The sequence below is a fragment of the Homo sapiens genome, chromosome 13 (assembly GCF_000001405.40).
Source record: "Homo sapiens chromosome 13, GRCh38.p14 Primary Assembly".
Lineage (NCBI taxonomy): Eukaryota > Metazoa > Chordata > Mammalia > Primates > Hominidae > Homo > Homo sapiens.
The window spans coordinates 18,209,642-18,233,663 of NC_000013.11; the positions used below are offsets into that span (position 1 = coordinate 18,209,642).

Here is a 24,022-nt window from a genome sequence, read left to right on the forward strand (position 1 = left end):
CTGTATTCTGCAAAATTATCTTTCCAAAGTGAAGAAAAAGACTTTCTCAGAGAAACACAAATTTGCTGTCAGTAGATCTGTCAAAATGTTAAAAGAAGTTATCCAGAGAGAAGAAAATGATATAGGCTAAAAACTTGGAACTACATAAAGAAAAAAGGTTTTAGAGAAGGAAGAAAGGGGCTTCCTGCCTCCCTCCTCCATGGGGCACTGGTGCTATGCCCAGCACCCAGATGCCCCTACCCAATGCTGAATAAGAACACAGAGCACCGTGAATGGCTGGCTCTAAAAGGAAAAGTGGAAGACTTGTGTTCTCAACCCACAGCTGCTACTGCTACATTTAAAGACACTGCAGTGAACATTGTAAGTTCTCTGGCTCATGGAGGGAGGAATCTATTCCAAAGACTCTGAGAAAAACTGTAAATTAAACACAAATATGGTGGAAGCTGGTTCCTGAGCTTTATTGATGTTAATAATGCACCTTATTGGCCAGGCACAGTGGCTCATGACTGTGATCCCAGCACTTTGGGAGGCCAAGGTGGGAGGATCACAAGGTCAGAAGATCGAGTCCAGCCTGACCAACATGGTGAAACCCTGTCTCTACTAAAAATACAAAAATTAGCTGGGTGTGGTGGCACGTGCCTGTAATCCCAGGGACTCAGGAAGCTGAGGCAGGAGAATCGCTTGAACCCGGCAGGTGGAGGTTGCTGTGAGCTGAGATGGCACCACTCCACTACAGCCTGGTGACAGAGGAAGACTACCTCTCAAAAAACAAACAAACAAACAAAAAACAAAAACAAAAAAACAAAAAACTGGTCACCTTTTCACCATATACAAAAATTAACTCAGGTTGGATTAAAGATTTAAATTTAAGACCTCAAACTACAATAATCCAAGAAGAAAAACTTCAAAAGTACCATTCTGGATATGGGCTATGGGAAATAATTCATGACTAAGTCTTCAAAAGAAATTGCAACAAAAGCAAAAGTTGACAAATGGGACCTAATTAAACTAAAGAGCTGCCACACAGCAAAGGAAACCATCAGCAGAGTAAACAACCTACAGAATGGGGGAAATTATTCACAAACTATGCATCCAACAAAGGTCTAATATTTAGAATCTATAAGGAACATAATTCAACAAGCAAAACACAACCCCATTTAAAAAGGGGCAAAAGACATAGACACTTCTCAGAAGGAGACATACATGCAGCCAACAACCATGAAAAAAATGCTCATCATCACTAATCATGAGAGAAATGCAAATCAAAACCACAATGAGATATTATCTCACACCAGTCAGAATGGCTATTTTTAAAAAGTCAAAAAAAAAAAATAGCAGATACTGGCAAGGATAAGGAGAAAAGGGAATGCTTATACACCTTTGGTGGGAATGTAAGTTAGTTCAGCCACTGTGGAAAGCAATTTGGAGATTTCTCAAAGATCATAAAACAGAACTAACATTCAACCCAGCAGTCTCATTACCGAATATGTATCCAAAAGAAAACAAATCATTCCACCAAAAAGACATATGCACTTGTATGTTTATTGCAACATTATTCACATTAGCAAAGACATGGGATCAACCTAGGTGCCCATCAACAGTGGACTGGATAAAAATGTGGTACATACAGACCATTGAATACTATGCAGCCACAAAAAAGAATAAAATTATGTTCTATGAGGGAAAATGGATAGAGCTGGAATCCAGGAAGTGAACTAATGCAGTAAAAGAAAACAAACGCCTCATGTTCCTATAAGTAGGAGCTAAATTCTGAGTACCCATGGATATGAAGATGGTGACAATAGACACTAGGGACTGCTAGGAGGGGGAGGGAGGAAGGAAAAGGTTGAAAAACTGCTGAGTACCATGTTCAGTACCTGGGGGTTGGGATCATTCACACCCCAAACCTCAGCACCACACAATACACCCAGGAAAAAACCTGCACGTGTACACCCTGAATCTAACATAAAAGTTGAAAAAGAAAAAACAGAATGGAATCTCTGTTTATTCTCAACGTATCAGTTGTGCCACTCTTCAATTTGAAACTCTCACTATTGGCTATATTTGGGGGTGCCCTATTTCCCATCTCATAACTTATTTTAAGAACCACAGCAAAATAATGTGTGGGCTTGGCATTCAGTTTTTGAAACAAAACACTGAGCCTTCAATGACCTTCCTGTACATGTAAAAGCACACCTGTCTGCATGGCAGCAGTTGGACCTCACAATGTGGATTGTGCCTTCACCCTGGAATGTTTATGCCCTATCGCCATGGTGATGGGATTAGGGATCTCCTGCCCTTGGTCCTAAGTGCCACTGTCTGTGATGAGTTTTTCAAAGGTCAGAGCAGATTGAACCTTTGTGGTTTCATTTTCCCTGATTTTGATTTTTCTTATGGGGAACCTGTGTTGCTGCATTCAAGGTATGTTCATACTGGCCTGTCAAATGCGAACTCTTCAAATTACTAGTTAATGCTTTCAAAATATGTTATTTAAAAAATTATCCTCTGTATTTTCCATATGCAGTTATAAATATGTTTCATGGCTATGTTTTATTCCTCAATTTATATGTTTGATTATTGTACCAAGCAGAGTACCTTTGAAATTTTTCTTCATTTAAAAAATATGTATCTTGGCTAAGGCCTGTAATCCCAGCACTTTGGGAGGCCAAGGCAAGAGGATCACAAGGTGAGAAGATCAAGACCATCCTGGCCAATACAGTGAAACCCTGTCTCTACTAAAAATACAAAAAATTAGCCAGTCATGGTGGCAGCTGGTGTACTCCCAGTGTGGTGTAGTCCCAGCTACCTGGGAGGCTGAGGCAGGACTATCGCTTGAACCCGTGAGGCAGAGGTTGCATTGAGCCAAGATGGCGCCATTGCACTCCAGCCTGTGCAACAGAACAAGACTCTAAAACAAAATTATATATATATGTAATATATAATATATATAATATGTCATAATATATGTAATATATATTATATGTCATATATATGTAATATATATTATATGTCATAATATAATATATGTAATATATATTATGTCATACTATATATTATATATTATATATTATATATCGTAAATAATATATATAATTATATACAATTATATATAATTATATAATTACATATATAATTTTATATATTATTTATAATAATTATATCTATATCATTATATATATTACATATAATTATATATTATTATTTATTATATATAATATATTATATATAATATAAGCATTCAGGATGTAAAAGGAAATTATATATGTGTTATATATGTTATATATATTATATTGTATGTAATTTTATATATATATGGGGTTGCCCTATTTCCCATCTCATAACTTATTTTAACTAGCACAGCATAATAATGTGTGGGCTTCGGATTCAGTTTTTGAAACAAAACACTGAGCCTTCAATGACCTTCCTGTACATGTAAAAGCACTCCTGTCTGCCTGGTAGCAGTTGGACCTCACAATGTGTATTGTGCCTTCACCCTGGAATGTTTATGCCCTATCGCCAAGGTGATGGGATTAGGGATCTCCTGCCCTTGGTCCTAAGTGCCACTGTCTGTGCTGAGTTTTTCAAATGTCAGAGCAAATTGAACCTTTGTGGTTTCATTTTCCTTGATTTTTATTTTTCTTATGGGGAACCTGTGTTGCTGCATTCAAGACATGTTCATACTGGCCTGTCAAATGTGATCATTTCAAATTACTAGTTAATGCTTTCAAAATATGTTATTTAAAAAATTATCCTCTGTATTTTCCATATGCAATTATAAATATGTTTCATGGTCATGTTTTATTCCTCAATTTATATATTTGGTTATTGTACCAAGCAGAGCACCTTTGAAATTTTTCTTCATTTAAAAAATATGTATCTTGGCTAAGGCCTGTAATCCCAGCATTTTGGGAGGCCAAGGCAAGAGGATCACAAGGTGAGGAGATCAAGACCATCCTGGCCAATACAGTGAAACCCTGTCTCTACTAAAAATACAAAAAATTAGCCAGACATGTTGGCAGCTGGTGTAGTCCCAGTGTGGTGAAGTCCCAGCTACCTGGGAGGCTGAGGCAGGACTATCACTTGAACCCGTGAGGCAGAGTTTGCAGTGAGCCAAGATGGCGCCATTGCACTCCAGCCTGTGCCACAGAACAAGACTCTGTCTGCAAAAAAAATATGTATATAATATTTATTATATATACATAATATTTTTCATATATTGTTATATAATATTTTATATATTGTTATATAATATATTATATATCATATATCATATAATATATTATATATCATATATCATATAATATATTATATATCATATATCATATAATATATTATATATCATATATCATATAATATATTATATATCATATATCATATAATATATTATATATCATATATCATATAATATATTATATATCATATATCATATAATATATTATATATCATATATCATATAATATATTATATATTATATATCATATAATATATATTATATATCATATAATATATATTATATATCATATAATATATTATATATAAAATATAGATTATATATAATATATGTCATGATATATATAATTTACATATAATATATATTATATATTATATATGTAATATATAATGTATATTATATAATATATATCATATATAGTTTCATATAATATATATTATATGTCATATATAATATAGATTATTTACATTATATATTACATAATATATTATATTATAATATATTTTATATATTATATTATATATAATTATATATATGTAATTACATTATGTATATATTTATATATATTATACTGATATATATAATTACATATTATGTATTATTATATTCTATATAACATGAGGATGCAGGATGTAAAAGGAAATGATATATATTATATATAATATTATATATATAATATATAAGATGACATATATTTTATATTATATATATAATATATAAGATGACATATATTTTATATTATATGACATATATAATATATAGTATTATATATAATATGTTATATATATTTTATATATAATATGTTATATATATTATATATGTAATATATATAATATATATTCTATATTATATATAATTATATAATATATAATTAATATATATATCATATATATTATATATAATATATAGCATATATATTTCATATATAATATATAATATATATTTGAAACAAAACACTGAGCCTTCAATGACCTTCCTGTACATGTAAAAGCACACCTGTCTGCATGGCAGCAGTTGGACCTCACAATGTGGATTGTGCCTTCACCCTGGAATGTTTATGCCCTATCACCATGGTGATGGGATTAGGGATCTCCTGCCCTTGGTCCTAAGTGCCACTGTCTGTGCTGAGTTTTTCAAAGGTCAGAGCAGATTGAACCTTGTAGTTTCATTTTCCCTGATTTTTATTTTTCTTATGGGGAACCTGTGTTACTGCATTCAAGGTATGTTCATACTGGCCTGTCAAATGCGATCTTTTCAAATTACTAGTTACGTCTTTCAAAATATTTTATTTAAAAATTTATCCTCTGTATTTTCCATATGCAGTTATAAATATGTTTCATGGTTATGTTTTATTCCTCAATTTGTATATTTGATTATTGTACCAAGCAGAGTACCTTTGAAATTTTTCTTCATTTAAAAAATGTGTATCTTTTCTCAGGCCTGTAATCCCAGCTCTTTGGGAGGCCATGGCAAGAGGATCACAAGGTGAGGAGATCAAGACCATCCTGGCCAATACACTGAAACCCTGTCTCTACTAAAAATAGAAATAATTAGCCAGGCATGGTGGCAGCTTTTGTAATCCCAGTGTGAATTGGGATTCAGTTTATTCCCAAATTCCCAAATTATATATATATATGTATTTTATATATATAATTGTATATATAATTATATAATATATAATATAGATATATAATATATATAATATATTATTTATATATTATATATATTGTATAATATATATTATACATATATAATTATATTTATAATATATGTATAATTTCCTTTTACATCCTGCATCCTTCAACGTTCCATCCCCCACCCCACAGATTAATTATTCCCTAGGGGAGAATATGGCAAAGTCTATTTTAATTCAGTTTTTAACCTAATTAAGAACCTATGAAATCATTACTTTCCAAAACTTTGGAACAAAGCCACAGTAGTATGGATGGGTTGGAGGCTTTTCACACCATAAAATGTACCTATCTTTGTTTTTAACATGTTTTTCCCTTCCTCTCTTCTTTTTTTGTGAAATGTGTATTTACTTTAATAAATTTGTAGTAAGTCATTTCCATTCACATATTAATTTTTTAAAGTAATAAGAACGTGTATTGTCTGCGTGTGAAATAAAACTCACATTTATTTTTATGCTTTTGGAGTTATCCAAAATCATGGAATTGTCAATCACAGTCAATCACCCAACCTACTCACCTTTCCAGTGTAATCTTAGTCAAATTTTTTTTTGTTATCCAATGAGATGCAGTATTTCAACTCAGAAAGATAAATAGAATTAATTGGTAGAGACTATTAACTAAGAACATACAGTTTTATTTATACTCAGAAGCAAGTAGATTATGTACATATATATGAAGATTAAAATTAAAAGGATAATTGTGTAAATTTGCCTGTAGAGAGCTTTGAAATCCTGTTTACTTGTTAATGCTGTTTTGATGTATTGTGTGACTTTGTTCTCCCGACCCATCATCCAGAGCTCTCTGCAGGAGCTAAGTGCTCATCAGTTCCATGACTTGGCAACTGTCTAAGTTTAGAGGCACTTGTATTTGTTAGTAAATAAGGCAAGATGATATTGTTTCACAGGTTTTAGTGCAGAAGACTGAATAGATAAGCTGCTCCACCCAGTACACTGGTGTTCATTTCATGGTCATCTCATCTGTTAACCATGGATAAAAAACACTTATCTTCAATGATCTTCCTGTACATGTAAAAACACACCTGTCTACATGGCAGCAGTTGGACCTCACAACGTGGATTGTGCCTTCACCCTGGAATGTCTATGATGCCCTATCGACCATGGTGATGGGATTAGGGATCTCTTGCCCTTTGCTCTGCCACTGTCTGCACCAGCCAGGCCACTGGGCCATTGTGGCAGATGGTGATGCCCTTTGTGTGGAGCGCACTGTGTGTGCGCTGAGGCAGACACAGTACTTTTGACAACTTTATCTGCTTCTTTCAAAACTGGGTCTGCATTATGATAAAGTGGTTGGTTTTAGGCCAAGCAGGTGCATGTCATAGAACAATGACTTGGGAGTTCAGAATCCTGGGCGTGAATAAGCCTCTGAGCCTTATTAAGCTGTGAAATCTAAAGCAAGACATTTCCCTGATAATTAAGCCTCATGAGCACTTATACTGTACACTTTACCTACATCAAATCATTCGGCCATCACCACAGACAAATGGCATGATTGATTTACTATCACCTTTTACTGGGCAGAAAAAGACAGAGATGAATGTGCCCAAGCTTATTAGCCCCTCAGCAAAAGAGCCAAGATGGGAACCCAAGCATACAGCCCCAATGCTGAGGCTCTGAACTACTGACCTGCCCTCAGCACTCAGCCTTGGGATCATGAGTCACTGTGCAAGGGAGTCCCAACATCTGCATGTATGTCTGGAATGATCTGAGCCTGTAGAGTTCCTACACACTGGCCACATTATAGGGTGGTGTCTGTGGTCACACAGCTCAGGGCAGGTATTAGTACATGAATAGCTTAGCGGTGTCATAGTCTTTATGTGAAAGGCTCATAAAAGCCCAAATGCTTTTGAACTGGTTGCGGATTTTGAGTTGGAGGAACACTTGGGACAACCGGTCACATTCCTTCAGTGCGCGGCCACTCCTCAGCACATATCCCAAAGCCGGTAAATAATGGGAAGACCCTGTACTGATGTTTGATGGTGTTATGAACTTCAAATGACCCCTATAGAAATGTTAAAAAAAAAAAAAGTCTGTGAGCTACACAACCTGGGGACAAGACAAGAACACAAAATACCACTAAATAATGAGCCTCATGTGTCACCCTGCTTGCAACTCCCTTGGCAGCTGGTTTCAAGAGCCTCAGTGCTCACCAGGGCCCATCTCCCTGCTCTGCCCTCTCTCGCTGTGGGTTGCCTGGGCTGAACATGGGCAGCCCCTCACACGATGACTGCAAACACAGGGCAAAGGAAGACTGAACGGAAAATGTATGGTTATAGTGGTTATTTTAAAATATAAGTATTTCAGTATTTTCTAATCTTTAATTATTATTTTTAGGGGAGGTTTTTTTTTTTTTGAGACAGAGTCTTGCCCAGGCTGGAGTGCAGTGGCATGATCTCAGCTCACTGCAACCTCTGCCTCCTGTGTTCAAGCGATTCTCCTGCCTCAGCCTCCCAAGTAGCTGGGACTACAGGCACGTGCCACCACGCCTGGCAAAGTTTTTGTGTTTTTAGTAGAGATGGGGTTTCATTCTGTTAGCCAGGATGGTCTCAATCTTCTGTCCTCATGATCCACCCACCTCAGCCTCCCAAAGTGCTGGGATTACAGGCGTGAGCCACCACACCTGGCCTGATTTTTTATTTTTTATTTTTTTGAGATGAAGTCTCTGTCACCCAGGCTGGAGTGCAGTGGTGCAATCTCAGCTCACTGCAATCTCTGCCTCCAGGTTCAAGGGATTCTCCTGCCTCAGCCTCCTGAGTAGCTGGGTTTTTTTTTTTTTTTTTTTTTTTTTTTTTTTAGTTGAGATGGGGTTTTACCATGTTGGTCAGGCTGGTCTCGAACTCCTGACCTCAAATGATCCGCCCACCTCCACCTTCCAAACTGCTGGGATTACAGGTGTGAGCCACTATGCCTGACTATTTTCATAACCAAGAAAAGAAATAAGTACAATTAATGCTGGTGCATGGTATTAAATCTAGTTTTTAAAAAATTCACACATAAACAAGGCAGAACCCTATACCCTCCATGATAAATGCAGTAGCAGTGTATGTGGGTCTGTGGAGGTTGAAAGGGACTTGGTAGATGTCAAGAAGGTAGTGGCAGTCTTGCTGGGCTTTTAAAGGGTCTGAAGAAGTGACAGGATGCTGTGGTTGAATCCTAGCATGTATTTTAGCATTTGTTCATTTGGAGTTTGATTATTTCACGTTGCTTTCATTTGCCATTACCTGGAAAGCCAAGGGCTCTACTCTCATTTCCTTGCTCCTGTTTCTTTGCCTTCCTTGGTCCGTGAAGAAGATGGTCCAGGAGAAGCTCATTCCATGCTTGTTAACCAGGCACACCCCTAAGTTCCAGTCCCTGAGTCATTCATGAGTAGCACTGCCAATGAACTGACAGCCATGCTGTGTCCCTCCACATCCCCTAGGTGACTCGAAGAATTCTTCCAAAAAGCGTGTGAAAAGGGAGCCCTACTCTACTACCAAGGTAAAGCAGCCTGTCTTTGCCTAAGATGTAAATGTTGTTTTCTTGGATCCTTTATTTTTCGGTTGATATCAGCTATGGGAAAATTATCCACTACATTATAGATGTTAGATAATATTTCCTTGGGGATGGAGGAGGTGTATTTTACCAACTGACACCTGATTCCAGAGGACGTGCAAAATTGGCAGTGTCAGATAATACACTGCGTGTTAAGGGATGTTTTCTTCAGGAACAAGCTTTCCACTTTAGATAAGAATTCTTCAATTGCTACTCAAAAATTACCTAGACAGAAACATTCTTCAAGAAAAGCTCCTGTGCTTTCCTAAGGGAACTCTACTCTAGAGTTGGGGCTTTTGACTTGAACCTTATTTCCAATCTTGGTTACCCAGAGTTTCCAAGTGAACAAAAGACCTGTGTGAGCCATCCATAGCATAGCCTGATTCTCAGAGTGTTTTCCTTCTCTAATTACAGGTGACTTCAGGGAGCACATTCAATGGTACGTATTCTGGAATCACTCACTGGTTGTTAGAAAAGGATTCTACAGGAAATCTGGAGCTTAACTGCTGGCTTTTGTCTGGAGAGCCTCCATGATCCAAGATATCTTGTGGGAATGAGGATGTGGGGTATAGTAAAAGAAACTGGTTTTCCAGGTGACATACTCTTTTTATCTATTTATAGTTTCTGGGAACGTGTTCACATTAGGTTGTGTGTGGTTATGTGTGTATTAGGGCGGGGGTGGGGTGAGGTGGTCTGTGTGCAAGTCTGCATGATTTGCTTGTGAATGTGTGTCTATGTGTGTTTTCCCTAGGAAAAAAATGTTGTGTTTACCCAGCACAACTCTCAGTGCCATTTTTCTTAATTTAACAAGTCAGACCACATACTTTACTTACATTAGTTCACACCTCATCATCATCATGCCCATATGTTGTGAGCTTGTTTATTGAGCCCACATGCCAGATGGAGAAACTAAGCCACATAAATAAATGTGCCCTGGTTCACTTGCTGCATAGTGAAGAGTCAAAATGTTTACTCATATGGTGCTAATGTTGAAGGCCTGAACTACAACCTCTATTTATCAGCCAGTGAAGAGATCACTATTCACCATGCAAGGGAGTTCCAGCACCCTCTATGCCTGGAATTACCCACGCCTGCAGAGATCCCAAACGCCACCCCTCACATAAGAGAGCCTCATGATCTCATAATCCAGGTAGCTATGTAGACACCTTCCTGCAGGTGTCACATAGTCCTTTGTGTGAAACCAACATAGAAAGCCCATGTTTCTGATCAAATCACAGGTTCTGAAACACTAAGGGAGGCACTAAGTAGGACAACGTGGTGCCTGCGTGTCATAGCTGGGTCTCCTCAAGACATGGATCAAGTCCAGTAAGAATTGGGGAGACGCTTTAGAGTCTTGATGGAGTTATCACCACAAGCCCTCTGAGCTACACACATTAGGGATCATGACCATTAAGTACTCAAATTACCATTTGGTTGTTATCCGGGTATCTGTCGTCCTTGTGGCAACCCTCTTGTGAAGCTGGTGTGGACAGCCTCAGTGCTGGAGCTGTGCCTCCCTTCTGAGTGGACCCTTTCTGTGTTAGCAGGTGGGTACAAGCGTGGGGGTCAGCACACTCAGTGGATTTACACACACAGCATTAAAGAGTAAGGCTGCGCTTTGTTTATACATTTTCAATAAATGATGATCTTCATAACATAAAATCAATGATGTAGTACACTAGAATACTGTCCCTAGTATTGAATCTTGTCTCTCAACAAAGGGTTGCTTAAAGTCACATGACAGATTCCATTCAACTGATGACACATGCTGTAGCAGCAGTTAAAGCAGTCATTTGAAAAGGCTTTTACTATAAACTTATGTGTGAGCCTGAAGTGGGGGATAAAAGAGGTGATTAGCTACCCTGTGCCATGTTTCTATTATGTGTGTGGTGGAGGAAAATTACACAGGAAGGTGATGGAGAGAACAGAGCAAAGGATTGGACAGGTCCATTGAACCCATAAGACTATGTTGAGGTTAGTGAATGAGACTGGTCATTTTAGGTCAAATTTTACCCAGAGCTGGTGCAACCACTGCCCATTCTTAGCCAGACCTTATTGCAGGTAGCTCTGATCAATAGTCAAGGAGGCAGTGGGGGTTGCAGACTTAATTCATTAAATCACCAAAGCACCAGCCCACATGGCCACTTTTCCAGTTAATTCACAGTAGCTTGCATATTCAGGTTTGATCATTGGAAGCGAAGTTACTCTTTGCAGACCCATCTTTTGACAATCATTTTGCAGTGTCAGAAGGTCTGAGCAGCCTCGGGAGGCAAGCAGTCCCTGGTCCCTCAGTGTAGTCACTGGAGGAGACAGTCACTGAGAGGCAGCTGGCAGGGTGAAGGGAAAGGGGAGGCAGGCCACAGAGATGACAGCCTTTAAGCTGTCATACTGGGGAAGTCAAGGATCTGAAAGAGGAAGGAGAATTCTTTATCATTAAGGACCTGTCCTTATCTCAGGCATTTCCTCCAGAGCATCACCTTTGTCCACCCACACACCTTGGGCTAGGAGGACTGGGGAAAGACAGTGAAGGGCCTCTTGGGTCTCTGGCACAGGGCGTGATGAAGAGGTGGCAGTTTTTCAGGAAACTCTCTCTCTAGGGAACCAAATACATTTCCCATCTCAGGTCCTTCACTCAGCGGGGTTGAGGTTCTGCTCGTCACTTATCATCTCTGAATGTCAGCACCCTCAAGTGTAAAATCTCAGCCACAGCCCCTCCTCTGCACCCCCTGCAGGGCTGATGTTCTCCATAAACCATAAGGCATCATGCCCACGGAAAAGCTGAACAGGAAAGCATGCTCCACTGCCCCGGAGCCATCCAAGTTCCCCCTCCATATTCCACCACTGCTAAGTGTCCAGCTTATTCCTCCTGGCATGTAGTAAACACTTAGAGAACATTACTGAAGTACCAGTCCTCTCTAAGGTTTTCCTGTATTTAGTGATTTTTTAGCCCCGTACTGTGATACTAAGAAGTAGGGCCTAAATAGGGCCTAAAAAGTATTGCTAAAATTACATTATGACAGTGCAGAGAACTGAGGGCAGAGGGAGGACATGAGATTTCTAGGTCCACATGGCTTAGTGGAATTTGAATCCGGGCCCCCACTCTGCACCAGCCCTGCACTCACAGTCATCCTGCTGTGTTCTCCTCTCCAGGAAGGCACTGCCCACACAGTCTGTCTGATAGAGGTGTTGAGTGCTCACTGAACTCCGTGATCTTCCTGAAACCCAACTTTGATTCAGTGGGCTCTGCTTGGAAGCCTGTAAAGAAAAACATCATAAGTTTAAACTTAGAACAGATTATCACTGTTTTCCCTCTGGTCTTCAGTCAGCAAGATGTCAACAGCCCTATCTATTGTAAATGCGTTAACCAGCATCTTCTCTGATAGAGAATACAAGAAGATATGCTGTGCACACCAACCAGTGTCGGAGACCTCATGGCTCCCCGGTAAAGAAGAAGATGTACCCACAAGAAGGTACTGTGGAAGTTCATTAATTAAGTTGCTTCAAGAATTGCAATTGCGGGGAGTATTCAGTGTCCCATATGTAAGAGGAAACTATGAAGAGACTAAGCCATATTTTTTAATGTGTCAGGATTCTAATTTGCCTGGTCAGTAAATATTGCTACAACCACAAAAGTAAATATCTACTTAAAAGTCAATTGTGGTTCATGTTTAATGATAGACAATGTTTCAAGCTAATGTCTAGAACTTACCTGGTTGTTAAACATAAGCATAGATCTCCCTGAAAGAGTGGTGCTATATTATTATTTTTCAATTAATATATTTCTTTAGAGAGTTTTAAATTGACATAAAAACTGAGCATATGGCCAGGCGTGGTGGCTCACGCTTATAAACCCAGCACTTTAGGAGGCCAAGGCAGGCGGATCATCTGAGGTCAGGAGTTGGAGACCAGCCTGGCCAACATGGTGAAACCCCATCTCTACTAAAAATACAAAAAAATTAGCCCGGTATGGTGGCAGGCGCCTGTAATCCCAGCTACTCAGGAGGCTGAGGCAGGAGAATCGCTTGAACCCGGGAGGCAGAGGTTGCAGTGAGCCAAGATCATGCCATTGCACTCCAGCCTGGGTGACAAGAGTGAAACTCCATCTCAAAATAAATAAATAAATAAATAAATAAATAAATAAATAAAAATTGAGTATATAATACACGAAGTTCCCATATTATTCTGTCTCCTCATCCTCACTTCCTAATTTCACCTATTAGTAACATCTTACATTACTGTGGTACATTTGCTAGAATAATGAGAAAATATTGATACATTATTATCTAAAGTCTACATTTGCATAATGTTCATTCTTTCTGTTATACATATATATGAATTTTGAAATATTTAAAACATTATGTTCACCCTTATGGTCTCATAAAGAAAATGTTCACTTCCCTAAAAATCCTCTCTTCTCATTAATCTCTGTCCTCTTTCTCCAGAAACCATGGCAACTATTAACATTTTTACTATCGCTTCAACTTTGCCTTTTCCAGAATGTCGTATAGTTGGAATCATATATTATGTAGTTTTTTCAGATGAATTTATTGCACTAAATTGATGTACGCTTTAGCTGCTTTCATGTCTTTTTTATGCCTTAATGGCAAAAAATGGCACATTAAATCACCAAATAATATTGCATTAAATGAATTTTTGTCTTTTTATTCGCCTGTTGAAGAATTCGGTAGATTTCATGAGAGAAACCATCTGGGCCTGGTGCTTTCTTTTTCGGAATGCTCTTAATGTGAATTCAACTTATTTAATAGACATAAGTTTATTCACATTAGGATTCTAGCGTGACCTTGGGAAGATTGCCTTTCAAGGAATTGATAAATTTCACTGAGGTTATCAAACTGCGGTCATAGAACTGTTCATAATATTCCTTTTAATGCCTAACAGTTCAGTAGAGATGGCTCCTCTTTTATTTCTGAAATTGGTCATTTGTGTTATCTTCTTTTTCTTGGTTAGCCTGCATATCAATTCATTCATTGTAATGAGCATATCAAAGAACCAGCTTTTGGTTTTATTGATTTTCTGATGATTTCAGTGTTTTAATTTTATTGATTTCTGTGATGTTGTTTATTACTTTTACTTGCTTTCCATTGCATTCCTCTATTTTCTACAGTTCCCTAATTGAAACATGATATTACTGATTTTAGATCTTGTGATTTTTAGTATATTACATCCAATGCTATAGATTTCCCTCTAAGGACTGCTTTTGCTACATCCAGAAATCTTGCCAAGTCACATTTTCTTTTAATGTAGTTAAAAGTATTTTTAATTTTCTATTGAGACTTCTTCTTTAACCCATGAGTTATTTAAAACTGCATTGCTAATTTGCAAATATTTGGGGATTTTGTGGCTCTTTTACAGTTGTTGATTTTTTGTTGTCAGGTATGTGTTGCAAAAGCAGTCATCTACCTCATCTTGCCACCACCCAAGATGGCCCAGGATGTGGGCTCTCCCTGAGTGAATCTTTGGCAATCTGCCAACCTGATGTGGTCGGCCTCCTTCTTTAGTCTGAGCTTGTCTTCTGCTTAGAAAGGGCCATTCTCAGTTCTGGCAGGGAGTTTTCCCAACATTGAGAAGGTGGCATTCTTACTCCCCAGTGCAGCCTGCACCTCTGACCGGTGGTCAGCAGACAGGACAGAGGTCCTCATTAGACAGAGTTCAGCGGGGTCTCTGACCAAAGGGCATCTTCAGAGTCTGCACCTACCCACTGTGACCATGGGCAGGCTCTGAGTCCTAAAGCAGGAGGAACCGTGCGACCATCCTGATTGGAAATTTGTGAGGATCACCATGTTACTCAAGTAAGGTCTTTGGAAAGTGTCGTATTACTACTGTTTGTGAACTTCTTGTTGGTGGCCTGGCTGAGCCACACACTTTATGAAAACCAGGACCCCTCAGCTGGTGTGGGTGTCTATGCAGCCTGAGACCCTCATGTGAACAGCCTCGTGGTAGCTGTCTTTGCCCCTTGCCACCATCAGTGCCTCCTTGTTCCTGGGCACTGCTTTCTCTGATGGTGCTCCATTGTTTTCCTGCACCTCAGTGTCTACAGCTGGATGTCTCTTCTGCAATCTAGGTGAGGGGGCATCAATAACAGTTCTGCTGTGGCACTGCCCTCCTTCTTAGCTTGTCTTGCTCCGTCTTAGGCTCCCTCAAAGATCCCACCCTTCAGGTTCTTCCACAAGTTTCTTATTGAAATCCGAGCAGAAAACTATGACCAATATGACCAATCGTATACCCACTGAAGACATGAATGTAGAATTAAAACAATTCTCCATGGACTCTACCATATAGATCCCTAGAAGTAATTTCTAAAAAAAAAAAAAAATCAAGGAAGATGTAATAGTTTTCCATAAATTAGAATACCCTACATGTACAATTAAATGAAATGGCTAGTATAGTCTTGAAACCAAAACCAGATAAGGTAAATTAAATTCTGTGATATTTTAAAATACTGTAAATTCTGACTAATGTGAGTTAATCTCAAAATATGAAATAGTAGATTAACATTGAAAATGCAATAAATAAAATTAGCTACCTCAAGAGTTTAATGGAAAAAAATGTGATTATTGCAATAGATTCAGGAAATTCGTGAATAACATTCACCCTATATTTGTAGGACAACTATCTGATTAAGTGACCTGTGACAACCATTTGAATTAATGCTGCTTTCACAGCATATCTCTTGGCTTGTTAAAAACCCGACAAGAATTTCCATAACATTAATTTATTTTTAACACCTATATTGGGTGTGAACCCACCATAAAGTTTGCCCACTGAAAAGGTCTGCAATTTGATGCTTTATTAAATTGATACTGTGTGCACCCAACACCACGATCTAATTTAAATATGTTTCCCTCACCCAAGTTCTCTCTTGTGCACTGGCAGTTAATCCCCACTCCCATCTCCAGCCCTAAGCAATACTGCTGTGACATTCCATCTCCATAAATTTCCCACTTGCTTTATAGAAATGGACATATATATATATTTGGAATCTGACTTCCTTCATTTAGCATACTATGTTTGAAGTTAATTGACGTGTTAGCACGTGCTGGTCATGTGTTTTCCTTCATAGTCTGCTGTGTTTATTCATACAGATAGTGTTTATTCATTTATCAGTTAATGGACATTTAATTATTTTGTTTTTTTCTTTGATGAGTAATGTAGCTTTGAGCATTCATATACAGTCATGTAATGCATAATGACATTTTGGTCAAAAAAAATTTTTTTTTTTTCTGAGACCCAGGCTGGAGTGCAGTGGCACAATCTCAGCTCACTGGAACCTCCACCTCCCAGGTTTAAGCAATTCTCATGCCTCAACCTCCCGAGTAGCTGGGACAACTGGCACACACCACCACGCATGGATAATTTTTGTATTTTCAGTAGAGACAGGATTTTGCTGTGTTGGTCAGGCTAGTCTCAAACTCCTAGCCTCAGGTGATCCGCCCACCTCTGCCTCTCAAAGTGCTGGGATTATAGGCATGAGCCACCACACCCAGCCTAATTTTTTTAAGAAACGAGAACTATTTTCTAAATTACTTTTGCCAATTTATATTCCTACCATGATGCATAGTACTAATTTCACTGTACAATGTATGGTAGGCCCCAATATGTAAGAAATGATGAAAGTAACACATAAAGATTAGTATAAAACAAATGAGATTATCATTGTTGCTATCATCTTTGTCAAATTCTGAAAACAATCTGAGTATATTTTTATATAAATATGCTTGGCAACATAGCTGAAAAAAGCATTATCAGTTACATTTATCAGTAACAAAGACATAAATTTGAAGGGGGAAAAACACTTGTACTAACAACGCAATGTCAGAATTAACATAAAAATTCTGCTGGTCACTTTGGAATATTTAATTGCCTGGGGCAGTGTTTAGTAGACAAATGAGCAACTATGGAGCACCCAAAGTAGGGGAATCAACAGAACTTGGGTTTCAAAAGTTATCTGGGTTTAGAGCGTGAAACTTTGTTAGAGGACACACACCTTGCATGAGCGAGGTGACTTGGTGTGTGTGGACGTGTTGGAGGCACAGCATAATGGTGGCTTCCTCCAGAAAGGGACATTTGGGGTGGATTCATTCCATCTAGACAACACAGCCTGATGTGGCATGGACATGAATGGAGGTGAAATGGTCAGTAGTTGAGAGGATCAGTCCTGACAAGGGCCGAAGTGAAAAACCTGGGAACCCCTTCAGGTGCAAAGTCTTCAGTTGAAAAAGGAGGTGGTCACAGGAAATACTGAGACGGGTCAGCAATGCATGGGAGACAGAGTTCTTGGCCCTGCAGGGTGAGTAGTGTGGATTCTCAAGTTTTCTCCTCTCTCCATTAATTTCTTTCCCAATGCAGATGACTTCCATCATACAATCTTCAGCAACCTTGAAAGATTGGACAAGCTTCAGCCCACTCTTGAAGGTAAAGGAAGGCAGCTAACAAGACTGGCATCTGGGCTTGGCTGTGCATGTTTGCTATCTTGGAGAAATATATATAACACAATATTTATCATTTGAACCTTTTAACCAAAGTGTGCACTCCGTGGCATTCAATATATTCACAGGGTTGCATAACCAACACCACTATCTACACCCACAATTTTGATGATTTCTTACAAAACCTTGTCCACAATAAGCAATATAGCGCCTTCCCCCTATTTCCAGCCCATGGTGATTCCTATCCACTTTCTCTTGTATGAATTTGACTATTCTAGGCACTTCATGTAAGTACAATTATACAATATATTCCTTTTGTGTCTGGCTTATTTCACTAAGCATAATGTTCTCAATGTCCACCCATGTTGTATCATCTACCAAAATTATGTTCGTTTTTTACAGATGGATGATGTAGCATTGCATGTAGACCACCTTGCTTTTATTACATTCATTTGTTCACTGATGGTTGGATTATTTCCACCTTTTGCCTCCTGTGAAAAGTGATGCTATAAACATTAGTATACAAGCATCTGTTTGATTTCTGTTCTCTATTGTTTGGGGTGCCTAAGAGTAGAGTTCCTGGGTCTAACGGGAGTTCTACATTTAACCTTCTGAGCCACTGCAGACTGTTTCTCACAGTGGCTGCAACTTTATCCATTTCTACCATCAATGTATCAGGGTTACAATTTCTTTACATCCTTGTTCACACTTATTTTCCTTTAAATCATCCTAGTAGGTGTATATTGGTGTCTGCTTGTGTTTTTCATTTGCATTTCCCTAATGACTAATGATCCTGAGCAGCTTTTCCTGTGCTACTATCTGTGGCTATATCTTCTTTAGGGAAATATATGTTGAAGTCTTTTGCCCATTTTTAAAGAGTTGTCTGATTTTTATTTAGTTAGTTTGTTGTTGTAGATTTTTGAATATATCTTAAATATATTTAAAATATATTCTAAATTTTAGTCTCTTACAAGATAAATGATTTGCAAATATTTCCCCCTTTGTGTAGAACTTTAGATTCACAAACTTCATTAATTTGTAAGAAATCCTCAGCAGTTGACCCCAAACAGATAAGACTGAAGCAGTATCTTAGGAATAGTTGAAAGTATGATCACCACAAAACATAAGCGTAATCAAATCCTGCAAGCTACATGTAAGGCACAATGACAAATAAGGCAGCAAAGGGCCATCTGGTGATTAGTTCACCACACTTGTTGCAACTGTTTGTGCTGCAGAATTAAAACATACCAGCATTCAACCCATGTCTCCTCTCTTGAAGTAAACTGTCGTATGTTGGCTGGCCTGAACAAGCGTAGATATTCTCCATCCTCAATTAATATGCATGCATGACAAAGAAAAGGAGGCCGGGATGAAAAAATATTGTGTGATTAATAATTATGCTTTAATTAATTTTAAAGGATATAATTTCAGTACTTCTAATTCTCCCATCAGCAGTTATAACAAAGGATTAGTGAATAAATACCATAGACTGTTTTGCCTAGAATTGAATCCAATCTGTCTATTAAACTTTGCTTTTATTCAAGTGCAAAATGCTAAAACACATAATAACTACAGTGACAGCCACTGTGGATCCTCAGAGGCAAAATTAGTCTTGGGACATAAATCCTGCAAGCTAATATTGTTTTTACAGGGTTTAGAAAACCATTTAGCTGGGTTTCAAACCTCACAGTGTGAGCAGTGGGACTCTCATCAAACTATAGCATGTGCTTCAGTACCATTTGTAGACTGACTCATTCCCATTGCCTTAAGTTGCCATCAGCAAAATGCCAGGGACTCTATTTCTTGCTCCTTAGCTCCTCGTTCTTGCTTGTCTTTCCACGAGGGAAGATTTTCTAGCAGGAGCTCAAGCTGTGCTTTTAATGAAACACATCCACACACACTGTCCTGTTGTCCACATTAAGCAGAGCTCCCTGAATAACTCATGAACAAAAGCATCTATGACTAACTGTTGCTGTGTGTCCTCCTAGCCTCTGAGGAGTCTCTAGTTCACAAGGACAGAGGAGATGGAGAGAGGCCAGTCAACGTGAGGGTAAGGTTGCCTTGCTTTCTCTGAAATAGAAATGTTCCTTTCTTGGTGTCTTTCTTTTTCAACTGACTTTACATGTGAAAAAATGACAATGTCCATGACAGGTATTAAATGCAGTTTTCTGAGGGGGAGGAAGAAGTGACTCTTAGCAACTGATATGTAATCCAAAATGGCATTTAGCTATGACGGCTTCAGGTTGTAGACTGTATCCTTGGGATCCTTGTCCTTGGAAGCAATGTCTTCTCCTTGGATTCAGTATTTTGCACTTGCCAACCTACGTGGACCTGAGAGATACACCATCCAGAAGCTGATGTCTTTTCCAGTGTGTATCCTACCCTTGTCTTGGAGGCCTTGAAGTTGACTACACTTTCTGATCAAGTTTTCAGTATTCATTGAGAGAAACAGAGCCTTGTGCAAACAATCCACAACATGACATACCCCTCAAAAAGTTTTGTTTCTGTATTGCAGGTGGTGCAGGTGGCCCCTCTGAGGCGTGAATCTAGTAAGTATTCTGGAATCACTTGCCAAGAAAACAATCTGGATGCCAAGAAAGGTGTGGCATCCTTGCCTGGTTTCAATGTGAAGAGCCACCCTGATCCTGGGATTGTGATAGGAATAAGTATAGGGGAAGTGTTTTTTTAAAACCTGAATTCCCCAGGGAAAAATTATGGCCAAATTTTGAGGAAGCAGCTGTGCTCCCTTTTGGGTGGTGCTGAGTTGGGTGCTTGAGGATTGGTGGTGTCTTGTTTGAGGCTGCATCGTGTGGTGTGAATGTGTGTGTTTCTGTACAGGTGAGGCTGTGTGTTTTCTCAGGAGAGATTTCCCACTTATACAACCCAATCACCAGTGTCCACTTCTAACAATAAAATCCACCCCCGCTCTACTCTCTCTGTACAGTGACTCCTCTACCCTCACCAGAGCCATCCCCGGGTCTGCCTTATTATCCCGACTACTCAGGTGGAGAACCTGAAGGGCCAAGGGAGTGGCCCCAGCTCCTGAGTTCCTGAATGAAAAAGTGAAAACACGAACCCAGGAGTGTGGGCCAGTGCTGACACTGACATGCACTTAGTCATGGAGTGTTCACCACCACACAGGGAGTTCAGCATTCATCTATAAGCCCTAAAGCACCGAGCCCAAAAGGCCCCAGACACTGCCCATCATCATAAAGTGGCCTCTGTGGTCACACAACCCAGGGCAGTTATAGGCTCATCTCCCCACGGACAGGCATAGTCATCAGTGTGTCAAAAGCACAAAGATCCCCAGGTGTTTTGCTCAGCTCACAGATCTTTTTTTTTTAACTTTTAAGTTCAGGGGTACATGTGCAGGATGTGCAGGTTTGCTACATATAGAAATGTGTGTCATGAGAGTTTGTTGTACAGATTATTGCATCACCCATACATTGAGCCTAATATCAGCTATTTTTCCTGATCCTCCCCCTCCTCCCACCTCCCACCCTCCAGTGGGCCCCACGCTCACAAATTCTAAGAGGAGTGGGGGACCACAAATGCCAGTGTGGCCCACTTCAGTTGTGAAGTTAATTTGCTCAGCAGCTGGCCAAAGCCTGTAAGGATGGGTGATGTATTTTAGTAGATTTAGTAATACTATCTTCCCAAGCCCTAAAATGCTCAAAACCTGCCAGCCAAAAATGGTGAGGAGGGACAGATAGGAACTCTGTGTGGCACTTGGTTATTAGCCTGGCTTCCATCCCTTAGTGGCAACTCTCTTGTATATGTGGGTTAAAGACCCTCAGCCTCAAGCCAAGCCTCCTCCATGAGGAGCCATCTCACTATTGACTGGCTAGTGCCGGGTATGGCCACCAGCCCAACTGAAACAAAATGTTGCTTTAAAACAAGTGTAAATCTCATACAACAGGCAAATGCAGAAGCAATGTGGTCTCGCAAGTTGTAAAGAGGACAGTCGCAATTTTGCTGGACTTCAACCTGGGTAGAAGACATGAGGGAACTCTGTCACTGAATCACGGCAGAGTTCAAGGCCACTTGTAGACTATTTCATGTTACAGAAGGTAGCCTTTAGCTACTAAGCAAAGGCCTCGGTTTCTCATTTCTTTCCTGTTCATCTTCTTGGTCATCCTTCTTCCGCAAGGGAAACGAGCCCAAGCAAAAGGCAGTTTCAATATTAATTTGACCGAGGTTTTGTGCAGTTTATTATCATCCAGGTAATCAGGTGCAACCCAGTCTGCCTAGCAGCCCCCCTCTCTCTGCTCTGTGTTTTCATTTAATAAACATTTTGGTCTACTTACTATGTGCTAGATTTTCTCGAGACCAAGTAAATGAGATAGAATCTTTATGTTGGCAGCTAAGTTAGATTTAACATAACTGACAAAAATTAAAATTTCTGATTTCTTGTAAAAATTGTATGTGTGAATGCATACTGAAAGTAAAGTGGTTAACAAAAAAAATCACACTTGCACTCATGGAAGGCTTTTCATGAATTTGTCAATTTCTATTTTTTTATATTTCCCCACTTCACTGGATAATGCATATCTGAACCTGGAAACTGATTCCCACTGTAGAAAGTGTTCTGAGCCACATCCCTTAGCTTCACTAGTGCAGGTCCACCTGGGAGTATGTCCCAGCATCAGCTTGGCCCATGCTGTGATAAGCCACCTCCATGCACCACACCAAGCAAGCCCCTGGGTGATTCACAGTCTCCACCACCAGGGCACTGACCTTTATTCTGTGTTCTTCAAGCTCCCCATGGGGACACCATCCACGACATCACGAACGAGGACGCCGTCCACGACACCACCGACGAGGACGCCGTCCATGGCACCGCCGACGAGGACGCCGTCCAGGGCATCGCCGACGAGGACGCCGTCCACGGCATCGCTGACTGGGACGCCATCCAGGGCCTCGCTGACAGGGACGCCGTCCACGGCTTCGCTGATGGGGACGCCGTCAAGGGCATCGCTGACGGGGACGCCACCCAGGGCATCGCTGAAGGGGACGACGTCCATGGCATCGCTGATGGTGTCGCCGTCCAGGGCATCGCTGACGAGGATGCAGTCCAGCTCATTGCTGATGAGGACCCCGTCCATGGCATCACTAAAGAGGATGCCACCCAGGGCTTCGCGAACAAGGACGCTGCCCAGGGCATCGCTAATGAGGAGGCCATCCACGGCATCCCTAACGAGGTCGCCATCCAGGGCGTCGCTAACGACGACGCCGTCCAGGGCGTCACTCTCGATGACGCCGTCCACGGCGTTGCCGACGGGGTTGCCGTCCAGGGCTGCCGTCCAGGGCAGCGCTAACGATGCCGTCCAGGGCATCGCTAACGAGGACGCCACCCAGGGCATCGCTAACGATGACGCCGTCCACGGCATCACTAACGAGGACACCGCCCAGGGCATCGCCAACTGGGATGCCGTCCAGGACATCGCCAACTGGGATGCCGTCCACTGCATCGCTAACGAAGATGGATTCCACGGCATCGATAACGAGGACGCTGTCCAGGGCATCGCCGACTGGGACGCCGCCCAGGGCATCGCCGACGGGGTCGCCGCCCAGGGCATCGCTCTCGATGATGCCGTCCACGGCATTGCTAATAAGGACGCCGCCCAGGGCATCGCCAACTGGGATGCTGTCCAGGACATCGCTAACGAAGATGGATTCCACGGCATCGATAACGAGGACGCCGTCCAGGGCATCGCCAACTGGGACGTCGTCCAGGGCATCGCCAACTGGGACACCGTCCACAGCTTCGCCGACGGGGTAGCCTTCCACGGCATCGCCGACGGGGACGCCGTCCAGGGCATCGCTCTCGATGACGCCGTCCACGGCATCGCTAATGAGGATGCTGCCCAGGGCATCGCCAACTGGGATGCTGTCCAGGACATCGCTAACGAAGATGGATTCCACGGCATCGATATCGAGGACGCCGCCCAGGGCATCGATAACGAGGACGCCTTCCAGGGCATCGCCAACAGGGAAGCCTTCCACGGCATCGCCGACGGGGACGCCGTCCAGGGCATCGCCGACGGGGTCGCCGTCCACGGCATCGCTGACGGGGTTGTCGTCCACGGCATCGCCGACTGGGAC

The 24,022-nt window shown here is 40.5% G+C and overlaps 1 long non-coding RNA gene across 1 annotated transcript in view; it reads left to right on the plus strand.

The window, feature by feature from the left end:
• Positions 1-22,375, plus strand: part of FAM230C (family with sequence similarity 230 member C) — a 36,720-nt gene extending 14,345 nt beyond the window's left edge. The window contains exons 2-8 of the long non-coding RNA NR_027278.1: positions 9,358-9,416; positions 9,885-9,909; positions 12,854-12,940; positions 17,838-17,903; positions 19,906-19,967; positions 20,433-20,466; positions 20,862-22,375. This is a non-coding gene — a long non-coding RNA (family with sequence similarity 230 member C). The remainder of the gene's footprint in view (positions 1-9,357; positions 9,417-9,884; positions 9,910-12,853; positions 12,941-17,837; positions 17,904-19,905; positions 19,968-20,432; positions 20,467-20,861) is intronic.
• The last annotated feature ends 1,647 nt before the right edge of the window (positions 22,376-24,022 follow it).